Here is a 24,665-nt window from a genome sequence, read left to right as displayed (position 1 = left end):
GTAAAGTTAAACATACACTTAGCATATTCACTGTTACTTGCCTTCTACCAAAAGTATCATTCTTAAAGATGTGAGATAGTGGTTTGAGAATAAACAAAAATGGGCTGGGTATGGTGGCTCATACCTGTAATCCCAACACTTTGGGAGGCTGAGGTGGGTGGATCATGAGATCAGGAGACCATCTTGACCAACATGCTGAAACCTCCTCTCTACTAAAAATACAAAAATTAGCTGGGCATGGTGGCGGGCTCCTGTAATGCCAGCTACTCAGGAGGCTGAGGCAGGAGAATCACTTGAACCCAGGAAGCAGAAGTTGCAATGAACCAAGATCGTGCCACTGCATTCCAGCCTGGTGACAGAGCAAGACTCTATCTCAAAAAAAAAAAAAAGGTCAGAGATTTCAGTGATAAACATAAAAGATAGGAGACTCCAGGAATGGATATACCTAGTGTAGTATAAATGTGACCTTTAAGATCAGTAAATAAAAAAGGGACTCATCAATAAATGTTGAAAGCCTTGACTATCCAATTAGAAAAAATTAAAATTAGATTTGTGCCTGACACCACTTAAAACATATTCTTCATGTTTTGAAAATAATTAGTGCCTGGGAGTATGGGAAAGTTTTCTTTTAAAAAATCATTATACAAAAATTTCATAAACACATTGAAATTTTAACCACATAAATTTTTTTAGCTAAGTTGCCCAGGCTAGAGTGCAGTGGCTATTCACAGGCACGATTGTAGCACCCAATAGCCTCAAACTCCTGCCCTCAAGTGATCCTTCTGCCTCCCCAGTAGCAGAGACTACAGGTATGTTACTGGTATGTGCCACCCCACACAGCCCAACCACATAAAGATTTTAAGTGAACAATAAAGTACCTCATTCTTTATGTTAATAGACAAGGACAGCCAATTCTTCATAAAGATAACATACACTTAGCTTATGACAGCAATTCAACTCCTACGTATTTACCCAAGAGAAATCAAAGCATATGTCTGCAAAAACGCTAATACAAGAATATTCTTAGTAGCTTTATTCAAAATTTCCAAAACCTGGAAACAAATGTTCACCAACGTGAGAATGGGCAAACTATGGTAATTTCCTGATTACTCTGAACACAAAAAGAAGACTGACAAGCATAATAATATAAATGAACTTAAAAACATTATGTTAAATGGTGGCAGCTTCTATAGAAAACAGAATGGCAGATCCTGAAAAAATTGAAAATACAATTATCATATGATCCAGCAATTCCACTTCTGGGTATGTGTCCAAAAGAATTGAAAGCAAGGTCTTGAAGAGATATTTGTACTCCTATGTTCATAACAGCATTATTCACAGTAGCCGAAAAGTGGAAGAAACCCAAGTGTACAAAGGAAGAAAATTCTGACACATTCTACAACACAAATAAGCTTTAAGGACATTATGTTAAGTTAAATAAGCCAGTCACAAAAAGGCAAATACTGGACCGGGCATGGTGGCTCATGCCTGTAATCCCAGCACTTTAGGGGGCCGAGGTGGGCGGATCACAAGGTCAGGAGATCGAGACCATCCTGGCTAACATGGGGAAACCCCGTCTCTACGAAAAATGGAAAAAATTAGCCGGGCATGGCGGAATGTGCCTGTAGTCCCAGATACTCAGGAGGCTGAGGCAGGAAGATGGCGTGCGTGAACCCTGGAGGCGGAACTTGCAGTGAGCCAAAATGGAACCACTGCACTCCAGCCTGGGCAACAGAGGGAGACTCCGTCTCAAAAAAAAAAAAAAAAAAAAAAGTCAAATACTGTATGATTCCATTTATGTGACCCAGGGAAGTCAAATGCATAGAGACACAAAGTATAGTGGTTGCCAGTGGCTGGGAGCAGGGGAAAATTGAGGGTTGCTGTTGAATGGGATAGAGTTTTAGTTTTGCAAGATAAAATGAGTTTTGGAGACTGGTTTTACAACAATGTAAATGTACTTAACACTACTAAGCTATACACTTAAAAATGGTTGAGATGGTAAATTTCATGTTATGTATATTTCACCAGTAAAAAATTGTAAAAAGCTGAAAGCATTCCAGGTAGCTCTAGTTTGCCTCTAAGATTAAGAGACATTTATTTCCATCAAAAACCAAGGATCTGAAAGTAACCAATTTATGAGCTCACAAGTTAGCCTGACAGTCTCACAGATGCTGGCACAAGACAAAAGACTCCTGGCTCTGAGACAAAGGACTTTATTAGCCACAACCACAGCAGTAGCCAGAGTGTCATTCTTTGCAATGGTTTTTGGCATTCTAATCCCACAGAGTGACATGGAAGGCCAGGTGCCACAGGCCTAGCGGGCTGTGTTGTAGGGATAGAACCCTAAGCTTAGGAAACCTGAATCTTTTATGATAGCCTGTGGGAATAAAACCACTGCCCTTCACCCTAGAGGGAGACACTGTCTTCACTAGAGTGGGCCATAAACAAATCTACTGCTCCAGAGGGAGACACTATATTTTTGTTCCCTAACATACACCTTTGAAAAGACAGTGGGAAACAAAGGTGACCAGTGTCTCCACTCAAAGACATGCAGAAAAAGAGAAGTAGACACTTAAGTAACCATAGTGTCTGCAGAAAAATAAAAGAAAAAAATAAGGGAAGTAGATACAGAGAATGAGTGGGGAATGAGGAATAATAACTAATGTTACATTCTAATTCAAAGCTAGTTGACTTCAGAAGAAAAAGGCCAATTCTGGGCTTACATCTCCTCTGTGAGTGGTATGCTAATAAATGTTTAATAAATGGCTCTCCAGAAAGAAAAGTATGTACATTATAGAAGTTTACTATAAATTTTACTAACATAGAATGTTTTTAGAACACAATTTATAAACAATAATAAAATATGCAGTACTCTTTATTATAAATTACTAATTTAGAAAACCATGTTGAATGAAAAAAAGCCAAATACAAGAGTATCTTACAGTATGATTTCATTTATATAAAGTTCAAGAATAGGCAAACCAACATATGGTGATAGAAACAAAACAGTGATTATATCCTTTTTTGGAAAGAAATGAAGGGAAAGGGGCACAAGGGAAATTTTTGGGGTAAATAAAATGTTTAACATGTTGAATGGGCATTATTTACAAGGATATGTACATTTGTTAAAACAAATGTAGTTAAAGTCTGCATTTTATGTAAATTATACCTGAACAAAATGAGTTTAAAAAAAGACAAGACAGATCAGACACCTTTGGTAGCTGTTACTATGTGCTTCTATGGGCAGTCTAGTGGAGGCATAGCCACTGATCCCAGTCTGCCAGCTGCATGCTATTTGTATTTATTGCCTGCAATTGTATGAAGAACTAGTGTTAAGTAGCCAGTGAACCCAGCATCAGTTATTAAATGACTATTATTTCTCCAACGTATTTCAAGGCTGATAAACTGACTCACTGTATACATGTGGATCTGTTTTTAGACTCCCTATTCTTTTCCATTGATCTATTTTTTCTCTCCTGAGCTAATACTACACTGTATTAATTATAGAACATTTATAATAAATGTTGATCTCTGGTAGTGTAAGTCCACCAATGTTGCTCTTCATCAAATTTTATCATCACACATAAGGGACTTCTTTTTTTTTTTTTTTTTTTTTTTTTTTTGAGACAGTCTCTCACTGCCGCCTGGGCTGGAGTGCTGTGGTGTGATCTCGGCTCATTGCAACCTCCACCTCCTGGGCTCAAGCCTCAGCCTCCTGAGTAGCTGGGATTACAGGTGCCTGCCACTATGCCCAGCTAATTTTTTAGAGACGGAGTTTCACTATGTTGGCCAGGCTGGTCTCAAACTCCTGATCTCATGATTTACCCTCCTCGGCCTCCCAAAATGCTGGGATTAGGACTAAGTTTTATAGGGAAAATATATAAGCTAAGGGTCTGGAAGAGAACGCACAGGACCACAGTTTCTCACACCACTTGAGGAAGCACCAGGGCCTGAGTGAAGCAGGAGATAGACCACACCTCACCCCTATCTTTTTATCCTTCTTAAAGAGCAATTGTGAAGGCATCCATGTTGGTGAGGGAACAAATTGACTATGCAGGTAATCTGGACTACTTAACTAAAGCAGACAATCTGGCTTTAGTTGTCAGATCAAATGACTAATTGATCTAACAGATTGACTAAAGCAGACAATCTGGCTTTAGTTGTCAGAGCTTCACAGAAGTTGCATGAGAAAGCCAGGTTCTAACACCTCCCATCAGAAAGAGAAAGCCGCTAGGAAGTTGAGCTCATGTAAAGCTTTTCCCACTGAAGAATGTGGGAGTCTGAGGCTCCAGATAGCTACTCACCTAGGCATCCCAAAGGGAACTCCCAGAATTACCTTTGGAGAATTCTGGTCTTTGCACACAATTGTTATTGTGAATGAAACATTTTGGCTACATTTTATAAAAGACTCTTAAATAGTAATGCTATGAATTTTCATGTGCCAATTTTGTATGAAACCAATTTTTTGAACTGATAATTTTAAAACATACTTCAATTGGTCAAATTTTACAGGCAGATTTGAATTTTATAAGTAAATAACATTATTCTCTAACATAAAAATAGTACCTTCTTTTTCCTTCCAATGATTACGTCTCAACATTTTTTATCTTGTCTTAATCCCACCGCAAGAATCTGGGCCAGTGTTGTGACTTGCTTTAATCATTAGAATGTGGTGGAAGTATCATTGAGCCTGTTCTCTGATGAGGCCTTAAGAGATCACAGCTTTTGCTCTTGAAACCCTGGCACTATGGGACCAACCCTAGATTGGTCTTCTGGATGATGAGAGACCATGATGACAGAGAGAACTTCGTTGTCTCATCTATGACCATCATAAAATAGCCAGGCCCAGATGAGCCATCAGCTGAATGCAGATGCATGTACAAAGCCCAGTTAAGATAATCTAGCATGTCCCACACCAGAACTGCCCAGCTAAGCCGAACTGAACTTGCCAGCTCACACATCATGAGCTAAATAAATTTGTATGTAGAGCTACTCAGTTCTTGTGTGTGTTATGAGGCAGAAGCTGATAAGCATATTTAGGATAAATTATACATGAGCAGAGTCTGTTATGCTTTTATCAAATCATTGGATTTGACATGCTCATATTTATTTAGGATCTCTGCATCTATATTTGTAAATGAGTTGGCTCCCACTGATTGGGAGCTAGACTAATTTCTGCTTTTTCCATGCTACTTTGTTACAAGAGGAAAAGCAAACAATTTTATGAAGTAGGGAGACAATCCTGTTAGCATCATATATTTAAAAAGCTTAATGTGATATGCAAGTGCTGCTCCTGGCCAAACTGGAGGATTGCCTGGGACACCTCGACCAAGGCTGAGGGCCAATTCTGTCATGAGGGAATGTTGCACCCATTCTAAACCCCAAAAGCTTCCTGGGATAATGTGTATCCCAGATCTTTTCTCTAACCTACTGTTTGCAAGTAGGAGGACTGGAGTATGTGGTGGACATGGACAATAATATGTGGACATTTTTATAGGTCTAGATCATTGTTGATGGAGCCATGTTATTCCATTATATGGGATGCCCTAATTTACTTAATCTCTTATACATGAAGCTTCAGGTCATTTATGGTCTTCTTATTGCAAAATTCTTAGAACATATTTCTTTCTGAAACCATCTTTTTCCACTCATGTAATTACATCCTAAAAATACATTCTGAGAAGCAGGATCATTGGCTCAAAGACAATGCACATTGTACATCTGATACATATAGACAAGATCCTCTCCAGCAACTTGGTACCTGTTTTTTTCCCCCACCAACTTATGTAAGAACACTCATTTCCTCATTTCTACTGACACAGAATTTTTAAAATATTTCACTCTTATCCACCTGCTCAGTAAGAAAATGACACTTCAGGGATGGTTTTATTTGCACTTGAATGGCTGTTCTGTTTACAAACTATAACTGGCAGGAAAATATAATGCAAGAAAAACTAGGAATAAACCATGATCCAAATGAAGAAACTTATAAGTCAATTAAAACAGAAAAGGACATTGTTTTTGAAGAAAAAATAAAAGACATTGTGGGCTGAGTGCAGTGGCCCACACTTGTAATCCCTGCACTTTGGGAAGCTGAGGTAGGAGGATCGCTTGAAACCAGAATGAGACTAACCTGGGCAACAAAGCAAGACCCCATCTCTACAAGTAAATTTTTAAAAGAAAACATTAGCTGAACATGGTGGTATATGCCTGTAGTCCCAGCTACTCAGGAGGCTGAGGCAGGAGGATCACTTGAGCCCAGCAGTTCAAGGCTTCAGCAGCAAGCCATGATCAGGCCACTGCACTCCAGCCACCTGGATGACAGAGCAAGACCCTGTTTCCAAAAAAAAAAAAAAAAAAAAAAAAGCAATGAGATCTCCTCTCGAATTCATCTATTATCCCCAATTAAATGACAATTTTGGTAGGAAGCTGACAGAAAGAGCACCCTTTAAAAACCCATTATTATACAAGTCTGCTGAGAAGAAGACTGCATCAGTCTGCAATGAACACTGTTGGTTTTTTACATGTTGTTGCTCACTTTAGTAAATGTTAGTTTTATTCAATTAATTTTATTAAGACTAACCACAGAACACCTATTCTAGTCAATTTTTAATCACATTTAAGGTGTGAGCTATCAAACTTATTCAGCTCCCACACTACAGAGTTTCTCTATTGTATGAGATTTCTTACGTCTGTGGGTTGTACTTTTCAGTAAAGTTTTACCACAGCTATATCATCTTGAACATTTCTCTTTGGTGTACACACCAATGAATGAAGGTTATCACTGGAGAAGTCCCATCCATACCATTTTAGATGGTTGCACTGCCACATCTAGCCTTAAAGACTTAAAAGCTTTGAACTCTGAATTACAATGTTTCTTCTGTATGTGGACTCCACTGACAATGAAACATATTGCTATAAAATCCCTCCATGCTAGTCAGGATGGCCTAGGCAATGCTGCAGTAACAAATAAACCACCAAAAATCTCAGTGGTGAGACACAGTGAATTTTTATTTCTTACTCTAAAAAGAAATCCAAAACAGATCAGATAGCGACCTTCTATCAATGCAGTCTGGAATAAGCAGCCTCAAAGGTCACCTTGGCAGGAATAGAGAAGCCTGAAGATGTTTATAAAGGCTAGACCTGAAAGTGGCTTATATCACTTTTGCTCACACGCCATTGGCTAGAGCTCAAACATGGGCACACTCTTAACTGCAAGTGTTACTGGGAAATAGAGTCTTCCTATTTGCAAGGAAATGGAACCAGTGTGATAAACACAGCACTGCCTCTACCACACTCTTCAAATGCCACTTCTGTAGAGCTTCTCGCCTGTGCAGAGAATCTCATGGAAAACCTGAGTACTAATGTTCTTTCATGGTAAGAGCATCAGTTTCATTTCTGAGCACAATTTTGAATGTTCTTCATACAGAGAGTATTTTTCTGTTGGGGACTAAAAAAAATCTCAGGACTTTGGCTAAACTGAAGACCTTACCATAATCATCCCAATTAGAATTTCCTTCCTGGACACACCCTTTAATGGAAATTTGACCTCTAACTACAAACACTACCACAAACCACCCATTTGTCAAGAGTAACCTACTTTGCCATTGTAGCATACAGCAGTTGATGGGAGCTTCACAGAAGTTCTTGAAATCCACAACCCTTGCCTGGCACACTCCAGTGCTGCAGGCTGACATTATTGATGGCAGTGTCCCTGTCTTTTGCTCCCCCAGCCCTCCCACAGGCTGAGTAAGCCTCTGTTATCTGGAATACAGTGTGGCTTGTTTTCCTAATTTAACCCTGACTTACTACGTTTATAATGTTTCTCTCTGCTCATGTAGTCTTTGATGAGTCAGAAGGTCTTTGCCATGCTCACAATGTGTGTACTGTGTCTCATCTATACGCACTCTCTGTTGGACAAGGAGGTGCGAATTACGACTGAAGCCCTTACCACATGCCTTACACTTATAGGGCCTCTGTCCTCTGTGGACTCTGAGATGAACATGAAGATCTGAATTCCAACTGAAGCCTTTACCACACTCATCACATTTATATGGTTTCTCTCTTGTGTGATCGCTTTGATGGAAGTGCAAATATGAACTGTAACTAAAGCACTTTCCACACACTTCGCATTTATATGGTTTTTCTGCAGTGTGAACTCTCTGATGAGTGTGAAGAACAGAACTATACCCAAAATCCTTTCCACACACATTGCATTTGTATTGTTTCTCCCCTGTGTGGACTCTCTGGTGAATGTGAAGGTGTGTACTTTGGCTGAAGCCCTTTCCACACTCACCACACCTATAAGGTTTCTCCCCTGTGTGAAACCTCCAGTGGACTTGAAGAACGGAGCTTGAACTAAAGCACTTGCCACACTCACTGGATTTGTAGGGCTTCCCTCCAGTGTGGACTCTCTGATGGATAAGAAGGTTGGAGCTCTGTTCAAAGCGCTTCCCACACTCTTCACATTTGTAGGGCTTTTTCACTGTGTGTACTCCCTGATGAATAGAAAGAAGTGACCGAAATCCAAACGCTTTCCCACATACGTGGCATTTGTAGGGCATCTCCCCTGTGTGGACTCGATGATGGTTGTGAAGGGAGGAGTTGCACCTGAAGCCCTTGCCACATTCTTTACATTTGTAGGATTGTCTCCTGAGGGGACTTTCTGACATCTGGGAAGGTCTGAGCTCTGTTTGCAGCCTGTAGGCCATTCGTGGAATTCATAGGGAGTCTCTCTTGAGTGGGTTTTACAATGAATGATAAGATATTGGCTCTGACTTAAGTTCTTTCCATACTGGTCACATTTATAAGATTTTTCTCCTAGGTGAGTGCTGTGATGGGCACGAGGATCTGTATCATCTGCAAAGGCCACCCCACAGTTATTACATGTGAAAGGCTGTGGTAAAACATGGACCACATGATGTTGTTCAACTGTTGATTTCATACCCAAGTTTTTCCCACAGTTGGGGTGTCTACCAGGGTCCTCTCCTTTACATTCTTGGGACTCATGATGATCACATGAGGTCCAATTGAGGCTCTCATCATGCCGAGCACGTCTGTACAATTTCTCTTCCACGTAAATTCCCTTATATCTTTCCTGAGATTTCTGGGGCTCGGTCATTATGTTGGCTTTCCTCCAAGATTCTGGAGTAAGAACCTGTGTCAGGCTTTGCCATGCTGTGATATCTTGATTTTTGATAATGGCATTTACTACATAGTTTTCATTTTCAGAAATCTGAAGAGACACGCCTGCCCACTCTTCACAGAGGGAAACATCTTCTAAATGTGGGGAACACTGTTCTTGAAGGTTCATGATATAATCCTGACTCACACTTAAATCCCGGATCCTTTGTTTCCAAATCTGCCAGCAATGAAGCACTTCTTGAGAAAGGTAACTTAACCCCGTTCCCTGAAGATTCAAAATGTTGTTTTTAATCCCGTCTCCCATGAGAAGAAAGAGAATTTGTGAATCACCTGTCCAGAGGTTTTGAGAAAATGAAATATGATGGGGTGGGAAGTTGTCCCTGGCTTCTATTGGCATGGGAAACAGAGCCACAGTAATTCTAACCTGTGAGCTGCCAATTAGAAATCAAGTATTGTAGGGAAATTAAGAGAAATCTTGGCCAGGTGCAGTGGCTTATGGCTGTCATAGCAACACTTTCAGAGGCTGAGGTGGGAGGATCACTCAAGCTCAGGAGATCAAGACCAGGCTGGGCAGTATGGTGAGATCGCATCTCTACAAAAAAATTGAAAATTGGTTCTGTTTTGCCTATGATTTCAGCTACTTGGAAATCTGAAGTTGGAAGATTGCTTAATCCTGGGATGCAGAGGCTGCAGTGATCCAAGATTGTGCCACTGCATTCCAGCCTGGGTGACAGAGCAAGACATTTCCACCCCCACACAGCAAAAAAGAATAAAAGGAAATCTTAGGAAAAATTTATGAAGGAAGAAATTCACCTCCCCACTATAAGAGTGGTCAATAAAAAGACTTTAATAATCTTGCTACAAAAGGTATGGGAAAGGCTCCCATTTTATGTAGTATATGTGTGTATAGAAATAATACATATTGATGGAGTGTTTTTTATATGTTGGGCAGAGTAAGGGACACAAAGGGTCACAAGAGGTTTCAGAAACAAGTAAGTCCTATCTCCTGATGGCTTCCCTTCCTTCACATCACTGTCATATGGAGGACTATCATGTATGTTTGTGTACAACCTGCACAACTGTACATGGTGAGCCTTAAGGGGATGGGGATAAAACGGCAATGGGGATTGAAATAGGGATAAACATTGTGAAATGTGGTCCTGGCGTTGTGCGGGGATGCATATGTAAACCTCTGAGACAAGCTTTAAGAGACATCCTTTTTATTTTCCCCGAGGTTCTTTATCTTCATGAAAAGATAGAGACCACTCAGATACTATAATCCATTTCTTTAAGTTCTGACCTTTTAAGTTATTGCAGAATCTCAAAGAGCCATGACTTTGAGAATGGGGAACAGATACTGTGGCACTGTCAATGGCCTGGCACCCAGGGAAGCAAGACTGTGGTATATAACAAACAGGGGGCTGAGGCAGAAGAGGATGATCATATTTTTGGGACCCTAAGATGGGTTTCAAAATGGCATGAATATCATGGTCAAGTCCCACTGGATACCGCTTCTGGTTCAAGGTCCTTTCTGGGTTGTTTTATTGAAAGTGACTTTAGTTTATAAGATAGTATCAGGGAAAGGGAGACCATGAGCTGCCCCAAATGGGTTCTAAGCAGTGGTTTCCCAATTGTTTTGATTGTAACCCACAATAAAATCAGCATTGTGACTCAGTAGGAATAGGCACAGACATCAACACCGACTGCTCACTAAAACAGAAGTTTTATCAGCTGATACTTACATATGATGTGCAATGCATTTTGATAAATTCTTCTGTTTTCTGCTCTATTAATCTATTTTGCTTTTTAAAAATTGCTAGTTATGACACAGTAATTTGATTTCAGGACTCATCAAGAGGGTTTTATCCTGCAGTTTGAGAAACAACTGCAGGGATATGCAGATTTATGTAGAAGGTCCTGTGTCTACAGATTACACGTTGGTTTCACCAGGTTATTTATTAAAAACACAGGACCTAGGGCCAGATTAGGAGGGCTCAAATCCTAGTTCTTCTTATAAGCTGTGTGATCATGGGCAAGTTATTAATTCTGTGACTCAGTTGTTTCATCCATTGGTATGGTTTGGCTGTGTCCTCACCCAAATCTCTTCTTGAATTGTAACTCCCATAATTCCCAAGTGTCATGTCCCATAATTCCCACATGTCACAGCCCCCACACAGAGTCCCTAGCAGGGCACTACCTAGTGGAGCTGTGAGAAGAGGGCCACTGTCCTTCAGACAGCAGAATGCTAGATCCGACAGCTTGCACCGTGTGCCTGGAAAAGCCACAAACACTCGACACCAGCTCACAAAAGCAGCCAGAAGGGAGACTATACTCTGCAGAGCCACAGGGGTGGAGCTGCCCAAGACCATGGAAACCCATCTCTTACATCAGCGTGACCAGGATGCAAGACATGGAGTCAAAGGAGATCACTTTCGAGCTTTAAGATTTGACTGTCCCGTTGGATTTCAGACTTGCATGGGGCCTGTAGCCCCTTTGTTTTGGCCAATTTCTCCCATTTGGAACAGCAGCATTTACACAATGCCTGTACCTGCCCTGTATCTAGGAAGTAAATAAATTGTTTTTTTTTATTTTACAGGCTCATAGATGGAAGAGACTTGGCTTGTCTCAGATGAGACACTGGACTGTGGACTTTTGAGTTAATGCTGAAATGAGTTAAGACTTTGTGGGACTGTTGGGAGGCATGATTGGTTTTGAAACGTAAGGACATAAGATTTGGGAGGGGCCGGGGTGGGATAATATGGTTTGGCTGTGTACCCACCCAAATCTCATCTTGAATTGTAACTCCCACAATTCCCATGTGTCATGGGAGGAACCTGGTAGGAGGCGATTGAATTATGGGGGCGGGTCTTTCCTGTGTTGTTCTCATGATAGTGAATGAGTCTCATGAGATCTGATGGTTTTTAAAAGGGAGATCCTGAATGGGCGCAGTGGCTCACACCTGTAATCCCAGCACTTTGGGAGGCCAAAGTGGGTTGATCATGAGGTCAAGAGATTGAGACAATCCTGGCCAACATAGTGAAACCCCGTCTCTACTAAAAAATACAAAAATTAGCTGGGCATGGTGGTGCATGCCTGTAGTCCCAGATACTGGGTTGGCTAAGGCAGGAGAATTGCCTGAACTTGGTAGTTGGAGGTTGCAGTGAGCCAAGATAGCACCACTGTACTTTAGCCTGGCTACAGAGCCAGACTCTTAAAAAAAAAAAGGGGGGGTGGTTTCCTGCATAAGCTCTCTTCTCTTGTCTGCCACCATGTAAGACGTGCCTTTCACTTTCCACCATGACTGTGAGGCCTCCCCAGGAATGTGGAACTGTAAGTCCAATACATCTCTATCTTTTGTAAATTGCCCAGTCTCAGGTATGTCTTTATCAGCAGTGTGAAAACAGAGTAATATGTCCATAAAAGGGGGATAATAACAGTAACTATCTGTATTAGTCCATTCTCATGTTTCTAATAAAGACATACCCAAGACTGGGTAATTTATAAAGGAAAGAGGTTTAATTGACTCATATTTCCATATGGCTGTGGAGGCCTCAAAATCATGGCAGAAGGTGAAGGAAGAACAAAGGTACATCCTACATGGTGGCAGGCAAAGAGAAAGCCTGTGCAGGAGAACACCAATTTATAAAACCATCAAATCTCATGAGACTTGTCACTCTCATAAGAACAGCATGAGAAAGACCCCTGCCCCATGATTCAGTTACCTCCTACCAGGCCCCACCTACAACATATGGGAATTATGGGAGCTACAATTCAAGATGAGACTTGGGTAGGGATATAGCCAAACCATATCTCTATCTCATAAACTAAACTTAGGTAGCACATAACTGTATATGAACCTCTGAGAAATGAAAATGAGGTTAGATATTTATCAAAAAGTAATCAAATAAGCCAACACTTAGATTACACTTACTACATACCAGTAAGTGTTGGCTATTGTAACTGCCAACCAAATCAAAGTTCTCCCTTTGTTCCTTTAACACTGGTTTATCCAAAACATTGGATAAACATTGATTTTTCTCCAGAAGCATCCAATAGATCAAGGCTCTTGGTGATGTGTGAATTTTATGTCTCATTCTGAGAAATATGAGGAAAGAATGAGAGCCTAAATGTGTGATTAGGGGAGGGAGGGATTACTACCTGCATTGAATGCCCACAGGCCAGGGGTATGAGATTTGGGGAGAGCTCCCTCACAAACCCATCACAAGGGGCCAGATCCTCACATTGATCTGTAAAAGCTCATTAACTGCAGGGTTCTAACCTGCACATGCATCTCTTAGGTGTTTTCTTTCCAGTGGTCAAAGTTTCTCTTTGTGATCTAACTGGAGTTTTCTATGTGGTTTGAAATGATGATTTCAGGACACAGGTCCAGTGGTCTGATGCTCAGTTACTCACCCACTGAGATGAGGTTCCTGAAGTTTTCCAGCATCACATCTTGGTACAGGTTTATCTGGGATTTATCCAATACTGCCAGCTCTTCCTTGGTGAAGATAACAGCTATGTCCTTGAATGTCGCCCTTTCCTAAAACATCAACCACATGCCACGTCAATCATCCACACAAATGACTGGTCTTAGTCTGTTTGGGCTGCCTTAATAAAATACCACAGTCTGATTAGGTTAAACAAAATAAACTAACTTCTTACTGTTCTGGAGGTTGGAAAGTCTAAGATCAAGTACCACCAAGATAGGTTTCATTCAGGTTTCTTCTCTTGGCTTGCAGACAGCTGTCCTCTCACTGTGTCCTTACATGGCAGAGGGAGAATGAGAGCAAGCTCTGTTGAGGCTGTCTCATAAGGACATTAATCCTATTGGATCAGGGATTCCCAAAGGACAATATGAATCAAATTATAAAATATGGCCCAGGAAATAGGCACAGATAAATCTATACTAAGGTGTTGTGCTGATACACAAGTCTAGTACTGTTCCATGAGTTCATTTCTCATCACACACCAAGATTTGGTATTTTCACTTTTTCATGGCAGATTAATCTATTTTTATCATGTTAAAAGGAACTAAGAAGACAGGGTAACTAAAAGCCTGGCTCCTAGATTCAAAAAACACAATAGAGAAAAGGGAGATTATTAGCATAATTAAGAACACTTGGATATCAACTAGGTATTAAAAAATAGTGGTATCAATGTGAAATTTCTCGAGTATGTTAGCAGTAATGTGGAAATGTAGGAAAATGCTCTTACTCTTAGGAGATACAAGCTGAAATATTTAGGAATGAATTATAATCATGCCTGCAATTTATCCCCAACTGGGTCATCAAAATAAAATATAGATATGTGTGTGTATATATGTATATTATGCATATGTTTATGGGTGATTGTTAACAATTGGTGAATCTAGGTGAAGATTACACATTATGCTATTCTTTCATTTTCCTGATAAATTGAAATTTCTCAAAATAAAAGGATGTGGGGAATAATCTGATATTAATAACCATCTCCTAATCAAGAAAACAATTTTTATGTAAAATATTTCTATTGCTGCATATATCACACTGCTCAGAGTTAAGTATTTACAGATATGTTCTCTCAATAGACTCTGCATCTCTAAATAATGCAGAACTTTCAAATGAAAGTTGTAAGCAGTTACAAACAACTTCACAAAGAATATGTTCCTAACAATTGTCCAATTACCAAAATCTGACAATGATTAAAAACAAAATCTAGGGGAGTCAGCACGGTTGTCCTAATAGCATCACTCTCTCTGTAACACTACTGTATGCCTTCTTCTGTGGGAGGCAACAAAATTGAATTGGAGTTAATCATTCAGGAAATACAGATACCCTGAAGTCTGCTTGGGGTGTTCCAACGTAGGAAGAAGGGGTTAGGAATAGAGGTTCACCCAGCCTACACCCCATTCTCCCTTCTCTGCCTCAACTATAGAGCCTGGGAAAACAAAACACTCATTTCTCCACCACCCTTGTAGCTGGATGGATGCCTTGTAGGAATCCTAGGCAGCGATTGTCATAGGATGCAGATACAAGGACAGCCCCAAAATATTAAGAAACCAAATTTTTCAACGAATAAACACTTGCAAAAATCTATAAATATTTTCCTTTCTGAAGTATTCTTGTATAACCATCTATGAAGTATTCTTGTAAAACCTTGAACCTGAATCTATTCAAGCATCTGGTGCTTCCACTTACAAGAAATACTGTGGATAGAGTAACACATTGAAAGACACCAAAAGGAAGCAAGCAAATGCATTCCAAATGTAGGAAAGAACACAGGATACCAAACTTGGTTTCTACAACAAGTCAATAGCAGGAGAGAATAAAGTAGAGGGGCAGATTTCTCTAGATTAAAAGAGATTATGAGACACAACAGCCAACTATATGATAGTATAGACTTTTGGTAAGATCCCATTTGAACAAACCAACTGTTAAAAATTTTTTGAGATAATCAGGGAAATTTGGTTATTGTCTGGGTATTAGATAATACCAAATAATTATTGATTATCTCATTAGTCAGTTTTTAAGGAAATATATACTGAAATACATAGAGAATGTGGTAAATTAGATTGCTGTTTAGAAATATCCTCTTCCATGCTCACCAATCCCACTAAAGGACCAGAGTGTGTTTTCTTACCCCTTTAGTTTTGACTTGGCAATGTAACTTGCTCTGGCTACCAAAATGAAGCAGAAGTGAGAATGTGCCATTTCTAACCTGGGCCTTGACAGATCTCACGCGTTCACTTGCTCTCTTGTAACTCTGTCTTCACTATGAGGACACACCCAAGCTAACCAAAACCAGCAGAGTGCTACCAAATACTCATGGCATTGGCTTTAGGTCCAGGCCATAACCATTGAGGACACTGTTATAGGAGGCTGGAAAAATGGTGACCTGGGTGATGTAGTGGTGAACACTTGGTAAACTGTTGCTGTAATTTAGAAGATAGAAAATGTACCTAATGAATCTTGGACTTGGGCAAGATGGTTTCCAGGCAGAAGGATAAAGTGTGAGCTCTTTCATTTTAGCTGCATATATAATAAGGTACTATACAAAAGCGATGTGCTCAGAGAAAAACCAATACAGTGTAAATACCATGCCTCTTTCAAATACTCTGGGAAAGAAAAAACTGAAAAAGAGATTAAGCAAATCCCTTTGGCAATAAGTTAATCGTTGAAACTTCATGATGGGTACTGCAAATGGAGCCTCATAATACCATTTGTTCTTTTTGTGTATTTTCATAATTAATTTTTTTCATGATTAAAAGAAAATCCTTCCTCCACACTGTGATGGTCTTTTTAATGTGGCAACTTGGCTAAGCTACGGTCCTCAGTTATTGAATAAAACACTAATCTAGGTATTGCTATGAAGATAATTTGTAGATGTGATTAAAGTCCATAATCAGTTGACTTTAAGGGAGATTATTCTAACTAATCTGAGTATGTCTGACTCAAAAAACTGAAGGGTCTTATGAGCAGAGCTGAGGCTTCCCTGGGAGGGGGAGAAATTCCACCCATAGACAGGGGCTTCAGTCTGTGTCTAAGAGTTCTGGCCCACCCTTCCTGAGGACTGCCCTGTGGATTTTGGACTTGCCTAGTTAGCCCCCATAATCATATAAATCAATTCCTTATGATAAATCTCTTAATATATATCTCTTACTGGTTCTGCCTTGCTGGTTGAATTCTGACCAATACATACCCATTCAAATCTTGTTACTTATCGAACGAGACCAGTGACATTTAGAGTATGGTCATGTATATGCTGCCCATGCACTCAGATGCTGCGGCAACACCAAATTGCTATAAAAGCTTCTGAACTTAGTCTTGATTCTTTTTCCCTCATGGGGCAGTGATAAGCAGTTCATGGACTGGTACTGGTACACGAACCACACTTAGAGTAGCACCAAAGTAGACATCTTGAAATCTGTGAGTTTGTTTCTTCACTTCTATAAAGGGAGTCAAACCACCTGCCTCACAAACTCATGATGAGCAAGATGAAGTACCTAATACATAGTAGTCACTCAAAAAATGCTGACCACCTTTCAGAAAACAGAAGTGCTGGTTCCTCAGAATGAACAGTATATTTAAAGAGAAAGAAACCCTTAACTTACCTGGAACTTAATCATACTGTCTTCCTTTTGGAAAGGGCAGGATTCTGGAAAAGCAGAACTGCAAAGAAGAAAGAATCCATGAGATCATGGATTCAACAAGTTATAAATGAACATTGGTTCCTTCCTTATCTGTACAAATTTCTCACAATTTCTTCTCTCCCTAGATATCTCTTCTCATTCTGAACAGACTGAACTCCCACCTCCTCAAGACTTCCCTAGATTTGTCCCCAGTCCCTCAATCTCAGACCACTGTGTAACTCCTATCTCTCTCCTCAAGCTTTTGGGTCAAAACCTGCACATTTTTTCCTTTTCTCAGACTTGTGAATGAACTGACATAATCTACATCTGAATTACGCTGGAAAAAAGGCTCCAGAATTGCTGAGTAAGGGAGCAATCTCAGGGCTGGGCACAGTGGCTCACGCCTGTAATCCCCAGCACTCTGGGAACCCGAGACGGGTGGATCACTTGAGGCCAGGAGTTCGAGACCAGCCTGGCCAACATGGTGAAACCCTGTCTCTACTAAAAATACAAAATTAGCTGGGCTTGGTGGTGGGCACCTGTAATCCCAGCTACTCAGGAGGCTGAGGCAGGACAATCACTTGAACCTGGGAGGCAGAGGCTGCAGTGAGCTGTGCTTGCACCACTGCACTCCAGCCTGGGCAACAGAGACAGACTTTGTCTCCAAAAAAAAAAAAAAAAAAGGAAAAAAAAAAGAGAGCAATCTCAGGATGACAGGGACCTTCTGCTATTTCCACTTTCACATGAAAGACTTGATCTTGTATGGCCAGGCCTGTGGTCTAAAGAACTTGCGATTAGCCAAGATATACAAATTAAATCCCAATTTTTATTATCACGTTAATCAATAATACAAATTTTTAAACATCTACACCTTGATTCTTGGCTTCCTAAACTGTCTCTCCAGCACCCATTCTATCCCTTGCTTTTGCAAATATTGATGACACACTTATGACATATAAGACACATCCTCTGCTCTGGAAATGCTCACAGTATACTGAACTGTACATGTTCTCAGACTGCACGTAGACCAAAGTAGATAGATAGACCTTCTAAGCTTGCCACTTCATATACACTAAAGTCCCTTCCTGTTCTGCTAATATCAGTGGATTCCCTTGCCAATTAGCTTCCAGTTGGGTTCAGCCAATGGGGAAAGCCAGCAAGAGATCCAGGGAAGGGACAAGAGTGAAGTCAGAATATTTATTCCCCCAGGTTTTTCCCTAGAGGTTGCTGTGGAATGGCTATGCTCCATATCCATTGACCAAAGGTCATGGCCACCATCAGGCAGCTGTCATCCCATAAATCTTTCTTCACATTTTAGTGACTGCCTCCTCCCTTAGCCCTTCAGTCCTAAAGGCAGTAAGTTACCCTGCTATCACTAGCTCTGAAATATTGCAATACCCTTTGTTGATTACCACAGCCTGCCTACAACTTTATAGATTGTCCCTTTATTAAGCTCTTCTCAAATTACCCAATTTGAGTGTTCTGTTTATTTTTTATTGGGATTCCATCTGGTAAAAGCTGTAAGCTCAATTGCCTCTCGCCTTTGTGGGGAAACTTACTGTATAAAATTGCCACTTTAAGCACTGTGTAAACTCCAAAGATTAAAAAATAAAAGCCAAAAACCACGTTTCTGCCTTCTCAGATAGTGCTTCTCACACTATCTGTGATAAAGGACTAGTTTTTATATTATTATTACCGTTACTTTCAGTCTGTCACAGACTGATATTTTGGTAAGATACAGTAAAAAGAAATTACTGGAAAAAGGAAATTAAGAAGGTATGCAAATTAAAGCCCAATTGTTATTATTATATTAATCAATAAGACAAAATTTTAAACATCTACAATCAAGTTCTCAAATTATCTGGTCACAGACCAATATCATTTATTGGCACTGGTCTGTTGGTTACCCTTTGAATTGCAGCTCACAGGGTTATAGAATCAGGTTAATAGAATATGAAATGTCTTTTTGGTAAATCCTTGGACTCTTTTTCTCTCCTTTAATACCTTTAAGAGACATCATTAATCACTTCTTATTTTGGGCTCCAATAAAGGCCAAAATAAGGAATGTTCAACTTATTAATACAGCATGAATTACATCATTTTACAATAGTTAAAACCTACCAAGGAAACACTCCTCCTTTCCCCTGTCAAAAAACTACAAATCCTAAAAAAAACAAAACAAAACAAAACAAAAACAAACAAACAAAAAAACAAGCTGTAGTCTTTTATCCACTGTACTTGCTAAGGATCTTATCATTTAACAAGCACTCAATCAATGTTTCTTAATATTAACAAATGCACAAACAGAATTGGCTTGGATATTATACATTATACGCACGTGCAAAGACATAAACTCACCCTCTACTTCCAGTACCCGTTCTCACTTAAGAGCCAATAATGGGACAGATTTATTTTCAAGCACACATCTACACACATGCAGTCACACATATATGGTTGAGGGTTTGGTTTCCTGAATTTCTGGCTTCAGACACTCCCTGCCTGTATCAACTATGGGCCATGGCAGGAACCAGATGGCACATTCAAATTTGAGGGGAGTTTAATAAACAGACAGCTTACGATGGTGTTGGCTGGGGGCAAGGAAATCAGAGTGGATAAGGCTCTATCCTGGGAAGTGACAGGGAGGTGCCATTATAATACCTGGGCCTTAAGAGGTAAGGGGAGGGAGCAGTCCCTGGAGCCTGGAACTGAGAGGACTGTGTGGCCAGGGCCACCCAAACCATGACCTGTTGTTTAGAAGGGCAGCTAATCTGTGACAATCCTGCAGAGAGAGAACTGGGGGACAAGATCCTCCAACTCACACTTCTTTCTCTCTCCAAACTTTCCTGTTGAGACTTCCCACTGGCCAAAGACAAGCAAGGCCAGAAGGCAATGGTGGCCTTTCAGGGCAGACAGCAGGGTGGAAAAGGTGGGGAGCCAAAGGCATGGGACACGTGGCACCTCAGGACTCTTGTTTTTTCCCTATCTGCCAAAGTCCACACAGCTCTCTCACACAAATGCCTTTCTCATCCCTCAACCTGACAACTACTCTGATCTGAGGAATACATCAGGAATGAGACCAGATGCCCATATCAACCTCTTCAGGGAATGAAGACCTAGAGGAAAAGTGCAGCTGAATCTGGAACTGAAATTGTCCAGAAACACGATCAGAAATGTAATAAATGCTGCTATTACACCTAAAATAATTAACACTAAATCTCTAACTTTATCAAATATACAGAGAGCGTTCAAACTTCAAATTTGGTGAGTGTAATTTAACAACTTACATTTGCTCACGTGCTTTATAATACTCAAATTCCGTACTCCCTGGCTCACAGCATGTGAGGTGAGAATGGAGTTAATAATTTGGAGCAGTTCTTTTATTTTCTTTCTTTTTTTTTTTTCTTTTGAAACGGAGTCTCGCTCTGTCGCCCAGGCTGGAGTGCAGTGGCGCGATCTCGGCTCACTGCAAGCTCCGCCTCCCGGGTTCACACCATTCTCCTGCCTCAGCCTCCCGAGTAGCTGGGACTACAGGTGCCTGCCACCATGCCCGGCTAATTTTTTTCTTTCTTTTTTTTTTTTTTTTTTTAGTAGAGACGGGGTTTCACCGTGTTAGCCAGGATGGTCTCGATCTCCTGACCTCGTGATCCACCCAAAGTGCTGGGATTACAGGAGTGAGACACTGCGCCAGGCCTGGGGCAGTTCTTTTCAAAATGTGTTCGGTGACATTAAACTCCAGAGTTTTTACAGTCTGAGTTGTTTCTTTATTGCCAGAAGCCGGAACCTCTGCCCTGAAGTCAGAAATGCCCCAATGGAGTCAGAGCTGCCAAAATCCAGAGTTCAGACCCAAGACAACTCCCCATCCAAGAACCTAGGGGTGCTGAGCCAGAATCGCCCCGACCAAACTGAGCGAGAATAGCCCAAGCCATCCTCTATCTCCAGAGACAAGCTGCTTAAGCAAATCTCTCATCTCATTCAGGGAGGCACAGCCCCAGCCATTACTCCCAAACCCTGAGCCAGCTCCCCTCTGCCCTCATCCAGAGATGCACATTCCAAGACTGACCCTAAGCCTCGACCCAAGGTGGCACAGCGCAAGTCGCTGTCACGAAACGTGAAGATGAACGTTTTGTCAAACCCAGGGCTGCTCCCCAAACCATCCAGCGCTCCCCAAACCCCAAGCGCTTCCCATCCCATCCCGGGTAGGTAGGGGCCGCTGAACTTCCCCAGCCTACCCCACCCACTAGGCCTTATCATTGGTCACCAGTCCCCTCCTCCACTCCTCCTACTTCAGTCCACAGGGACGGGTCACAGCTGCACATCCTACACCCCTACTCCTGGCTACACTTCCGAGAGGGGCGCGGTCCAGGCGGGCCTCACCCCAGCATCCCAAACAATGTCGCCCGCAGCTTGCGTCTGGTACCACAGCGCTTGCGCAAGGAGGCCTATGGACTACAATCCCCAGAAAGCCCCACGCGCAGCCGTGGCCATTCGCAAGGCTACCCGGGTGAAGGTAGCCTTTGACGTCAGTGCATTTGGAAGTCCTTTGACTTCCATGCATTCGTCTAAAATAATGACAATCATAATAACGATAAAGTAATGAAATGTTAAATCACTATCAACGATGAAAAGAAAAAGTTTCAATATTTTACTACTTGGAAATGAGCACTTTACCATTTTAGTGAAGACTTTTACAGGTTCTTATTTTATAGGCATGTCTTTTAATGTTAAAACCACGAAACTTTTCAATTAAAATTCACTTAAATTGTTCCATCCCCGCCCCACACCATGTTTTGTTTCTGTTGATGAAGACTCTGCATAATCTACACTTGCGATATAACATAGCCCAGTAATTTTTTTCCTAGTCTCAGAAGAAGCAGAATGAATTAACAACCATTGTCTGAATCCTTAATAGGGGAATTGCAGGAGTACTCATTACAACATAACAAGAAAACGCAGGAAGTTTTCAGATTATTTTTGAAAATTTCCCCTTGTTGGGACTTAGGCTTTATTTTACTTTATGTTATTGCATTTAAGATTTAAGATCATTAAAAAGTCAGGAAACAACAGGTGCTGGAGAGGATGTGGAGAAATAGGAACACTTTTACACTGTTGGTGGGACTGTAAACTAGTTCAACCATTGTGGAAGTCAGTGTGGCAATTCCTCAGGGATCTAGAACTAGAAATACCATTTAACCCAGCAATCCCATTACTGGGTATATACCCAAAGGATTTTAAATCATGCTGCTATAAAGACACATGCACACATATGTTTATTGCGGCTCTATTCACAATAGCAAAGACTTGGAACCAACCCAAATGTCCAACAACGATAGACTGGATTAAGAAAATGCGGCACATATACACCATGGAATACTATGCAGCCATAAAAATGATGAGTTCATGTCCTTTGTAGGGACAGAGATGAAACTGGAAACCATCATTCTCAGCAAACTATGGCAAGGACAAAAAACCAAACACCGCATGTTCTCACTCATAGGTGGGAATTGAACAATGAGAACACATGGACACATGAGGGGAAACATCACACACCGGGGCCTGTTGTAGGGTGGAGGGAAGGGGGAGGGATAGCATTAGGAGATACACCTAATGCTAAATGCGTGCAGCACACCAACATGGTACATGTATACATATGTAACGAACCTGCACGTTGTGCACATGTACCCTACAACTTAAAGTATAATAATAATAAAATTAAAAAAAATTAAGATTTCTATTAAAGAAAATTTTGGGTACTCTAATGGGGTGAGAAAATTGAATAAGAATTCCATTAGAGACCCACAGTTTTAGCCTGGAGGAAAGCCCTGATAATGGGTGAGAACAATCTCTCTCCTAGGAATGGTCACCTGGTCCTGCTGGCAGAGGCTCTGTTTGGAATATCTGGCTGGCATTCCGTTTTCCACGCACCCTCAAGCTGTAGGGGTCATGAGGCAGTTCCAGTCCTAGACTAGACAGAGAAGTGAAGACCCCTACCTCTAGGCAATGGGCAGGAAATGGTTGAATAATATCCAACTATAGCTTGACATTGCAGCTTAGGGCACATAAAGGGACAGTGCAATTCTTTTGGCTTATTTCTGTCTTTTGATGTTTACATGTTTGATGTTCTTATATATTGCTCTAAGTTGAAGGATTACTTGATTTAATTTGACATACTTGAATTTTAAAAAGCGAGTTCAGGAACATTTTTGTTTTTGACCTAATACAATGTTAATTTTTGTGACAACTGTGTCTATTGGAAAACAATGTGTTTTCTCTATCAGAGGGATATGCATACATTTATATTTTCACCAGACTTGTTAATTGTGCTATTTAAATTTCCTACATGCTTATTTATGCTTACTTAGATTTTTTCATTATGCATCTGTCAATGATTGAAAAGTTCATGTCAAAAAGGCTCCCAGGCTGGGCGTGGTGGCTCAAGCCTGTAATCCCAGTACTTTGGGAGGCCGAAGTGGGCAGATCACGCGGTAAGGAGTTCAAGACTAGCCTGGCCAGGATGGTGAAACCCCGTCTCTACTAAAAGTACAAAAATTAGCCAGGCATGGTGGCAAACACATGTAGTCCCAGCTACTTGAGAGGCTGAGGCAAGAGAATCGCTTGAACCCAGAGAGGCTGAGGCAAGAGAATCGCTTGAACCCAGGAGGCGGAGGTTGCAGTGAGCCGAGATCGTGCCACTGCACTCCAGCCTGGGCGACAGAGCGAGACTCTGTCTCAAAAAAAAAAAGAAAGAAAGAAAAATTAAAAAAAAAAGTCTATAATGGTATATTTGTCATTTTCCTCTCTATAGCATTTGCTTTATTTATTTATTTAATTTCTTTTTTTTTTTTTTTGAGACTAAGTCTCGCTCTGTTGCCCAGGCTGGAGGGCAGTGGCGCCATCTCAACTCACTGCAAGCTCCCCCTCTCAGGTTCATGCCATTCTCCTTCCTCAGCCTCCCGAGTAGCTGGGACTACAGGTGCCCGCCACCACGCCCGGCTGATTTTTTTGTATTTTTAGTAGAGACAGGGTTTCACCGTGTTAGTCAGAATGGTCTCCATCTCCTGACCTTGTGATCTGCCCGCCTCGGCCTCCCAAAGTGCTGGGATTACAGGCATGAGCCACCGCTCCCAGCCTACTTCATTTTTCAAAAGTCGTGTTATTAGGTATACAAGCGGCTTTACATTTTAAAAGTCGTGTTATTAGGTATGGAAGTGGTCTGTTCCTTATCTGAAACACTTGGGACCAGAAGTGTTTCAGATTTTTTATTTTTTTCAGATTTTGCAATATTTGCATATGCATAATGAGATATCTTGAGGATGAGACCCAAGTCTAAACGCAAAATTCATTTGTGTTTCCTATACACCTTATACACGTACCCTGAAATTAATTTTATAGAATTATTTGATTAATTTTGTTCACA

General features: G+C 40.9%; 1 long non-coding RNA gene and 1 pseudogene across 2 annotated transcripts; both read right to left on the bottom strand.

The window, feature by feature from the left end:
* On the bottom strand, window positions 2,799-21,682 carry LOC121676924 (uncharacterized; annotated as a pseudogene).
* Window positions 2,858-21,678, bottom strand: LOC102723636 (zinc finger protein 285-like). Of its 2 annotated transcripts, NR_172079.1 has the most exons (6): window positions 21,626-21,678; window positions 20,536-21,039; window positions 19,373-19,415; window positions 17,234-17,291; window positions 13,558-13,684; window positions 2,858-6,334 (listed from the first exon to the last, which is right to left on the bottom strand). It is a non-coding gene; the product is annotated as a zinc finger protein 285-like (long non-coding RNA). The 2 variants fall into 2 exon arrangements; NR_172078.1 differs by lacking the exons at window positions 19,373-19,415; window positions 20,536-21,039.

The sequence above is a fragment of the Homo sapiens genome, chromosome 20 (assembly GCF_000001405.40).
Source record: "Homo sapiens chromosome 20, GRCh38.p14 Primary Assembly".
NCBI classification, from domain to species: domain Eukaryota; kingdom Metazoa; phylum Chordata; class Mammalia; order Primates; family Hominidae; genus Homo; species Homo sapiens.
This window is presented reverse-complemented; position numbering and strand designations above follow the sequence as displayed.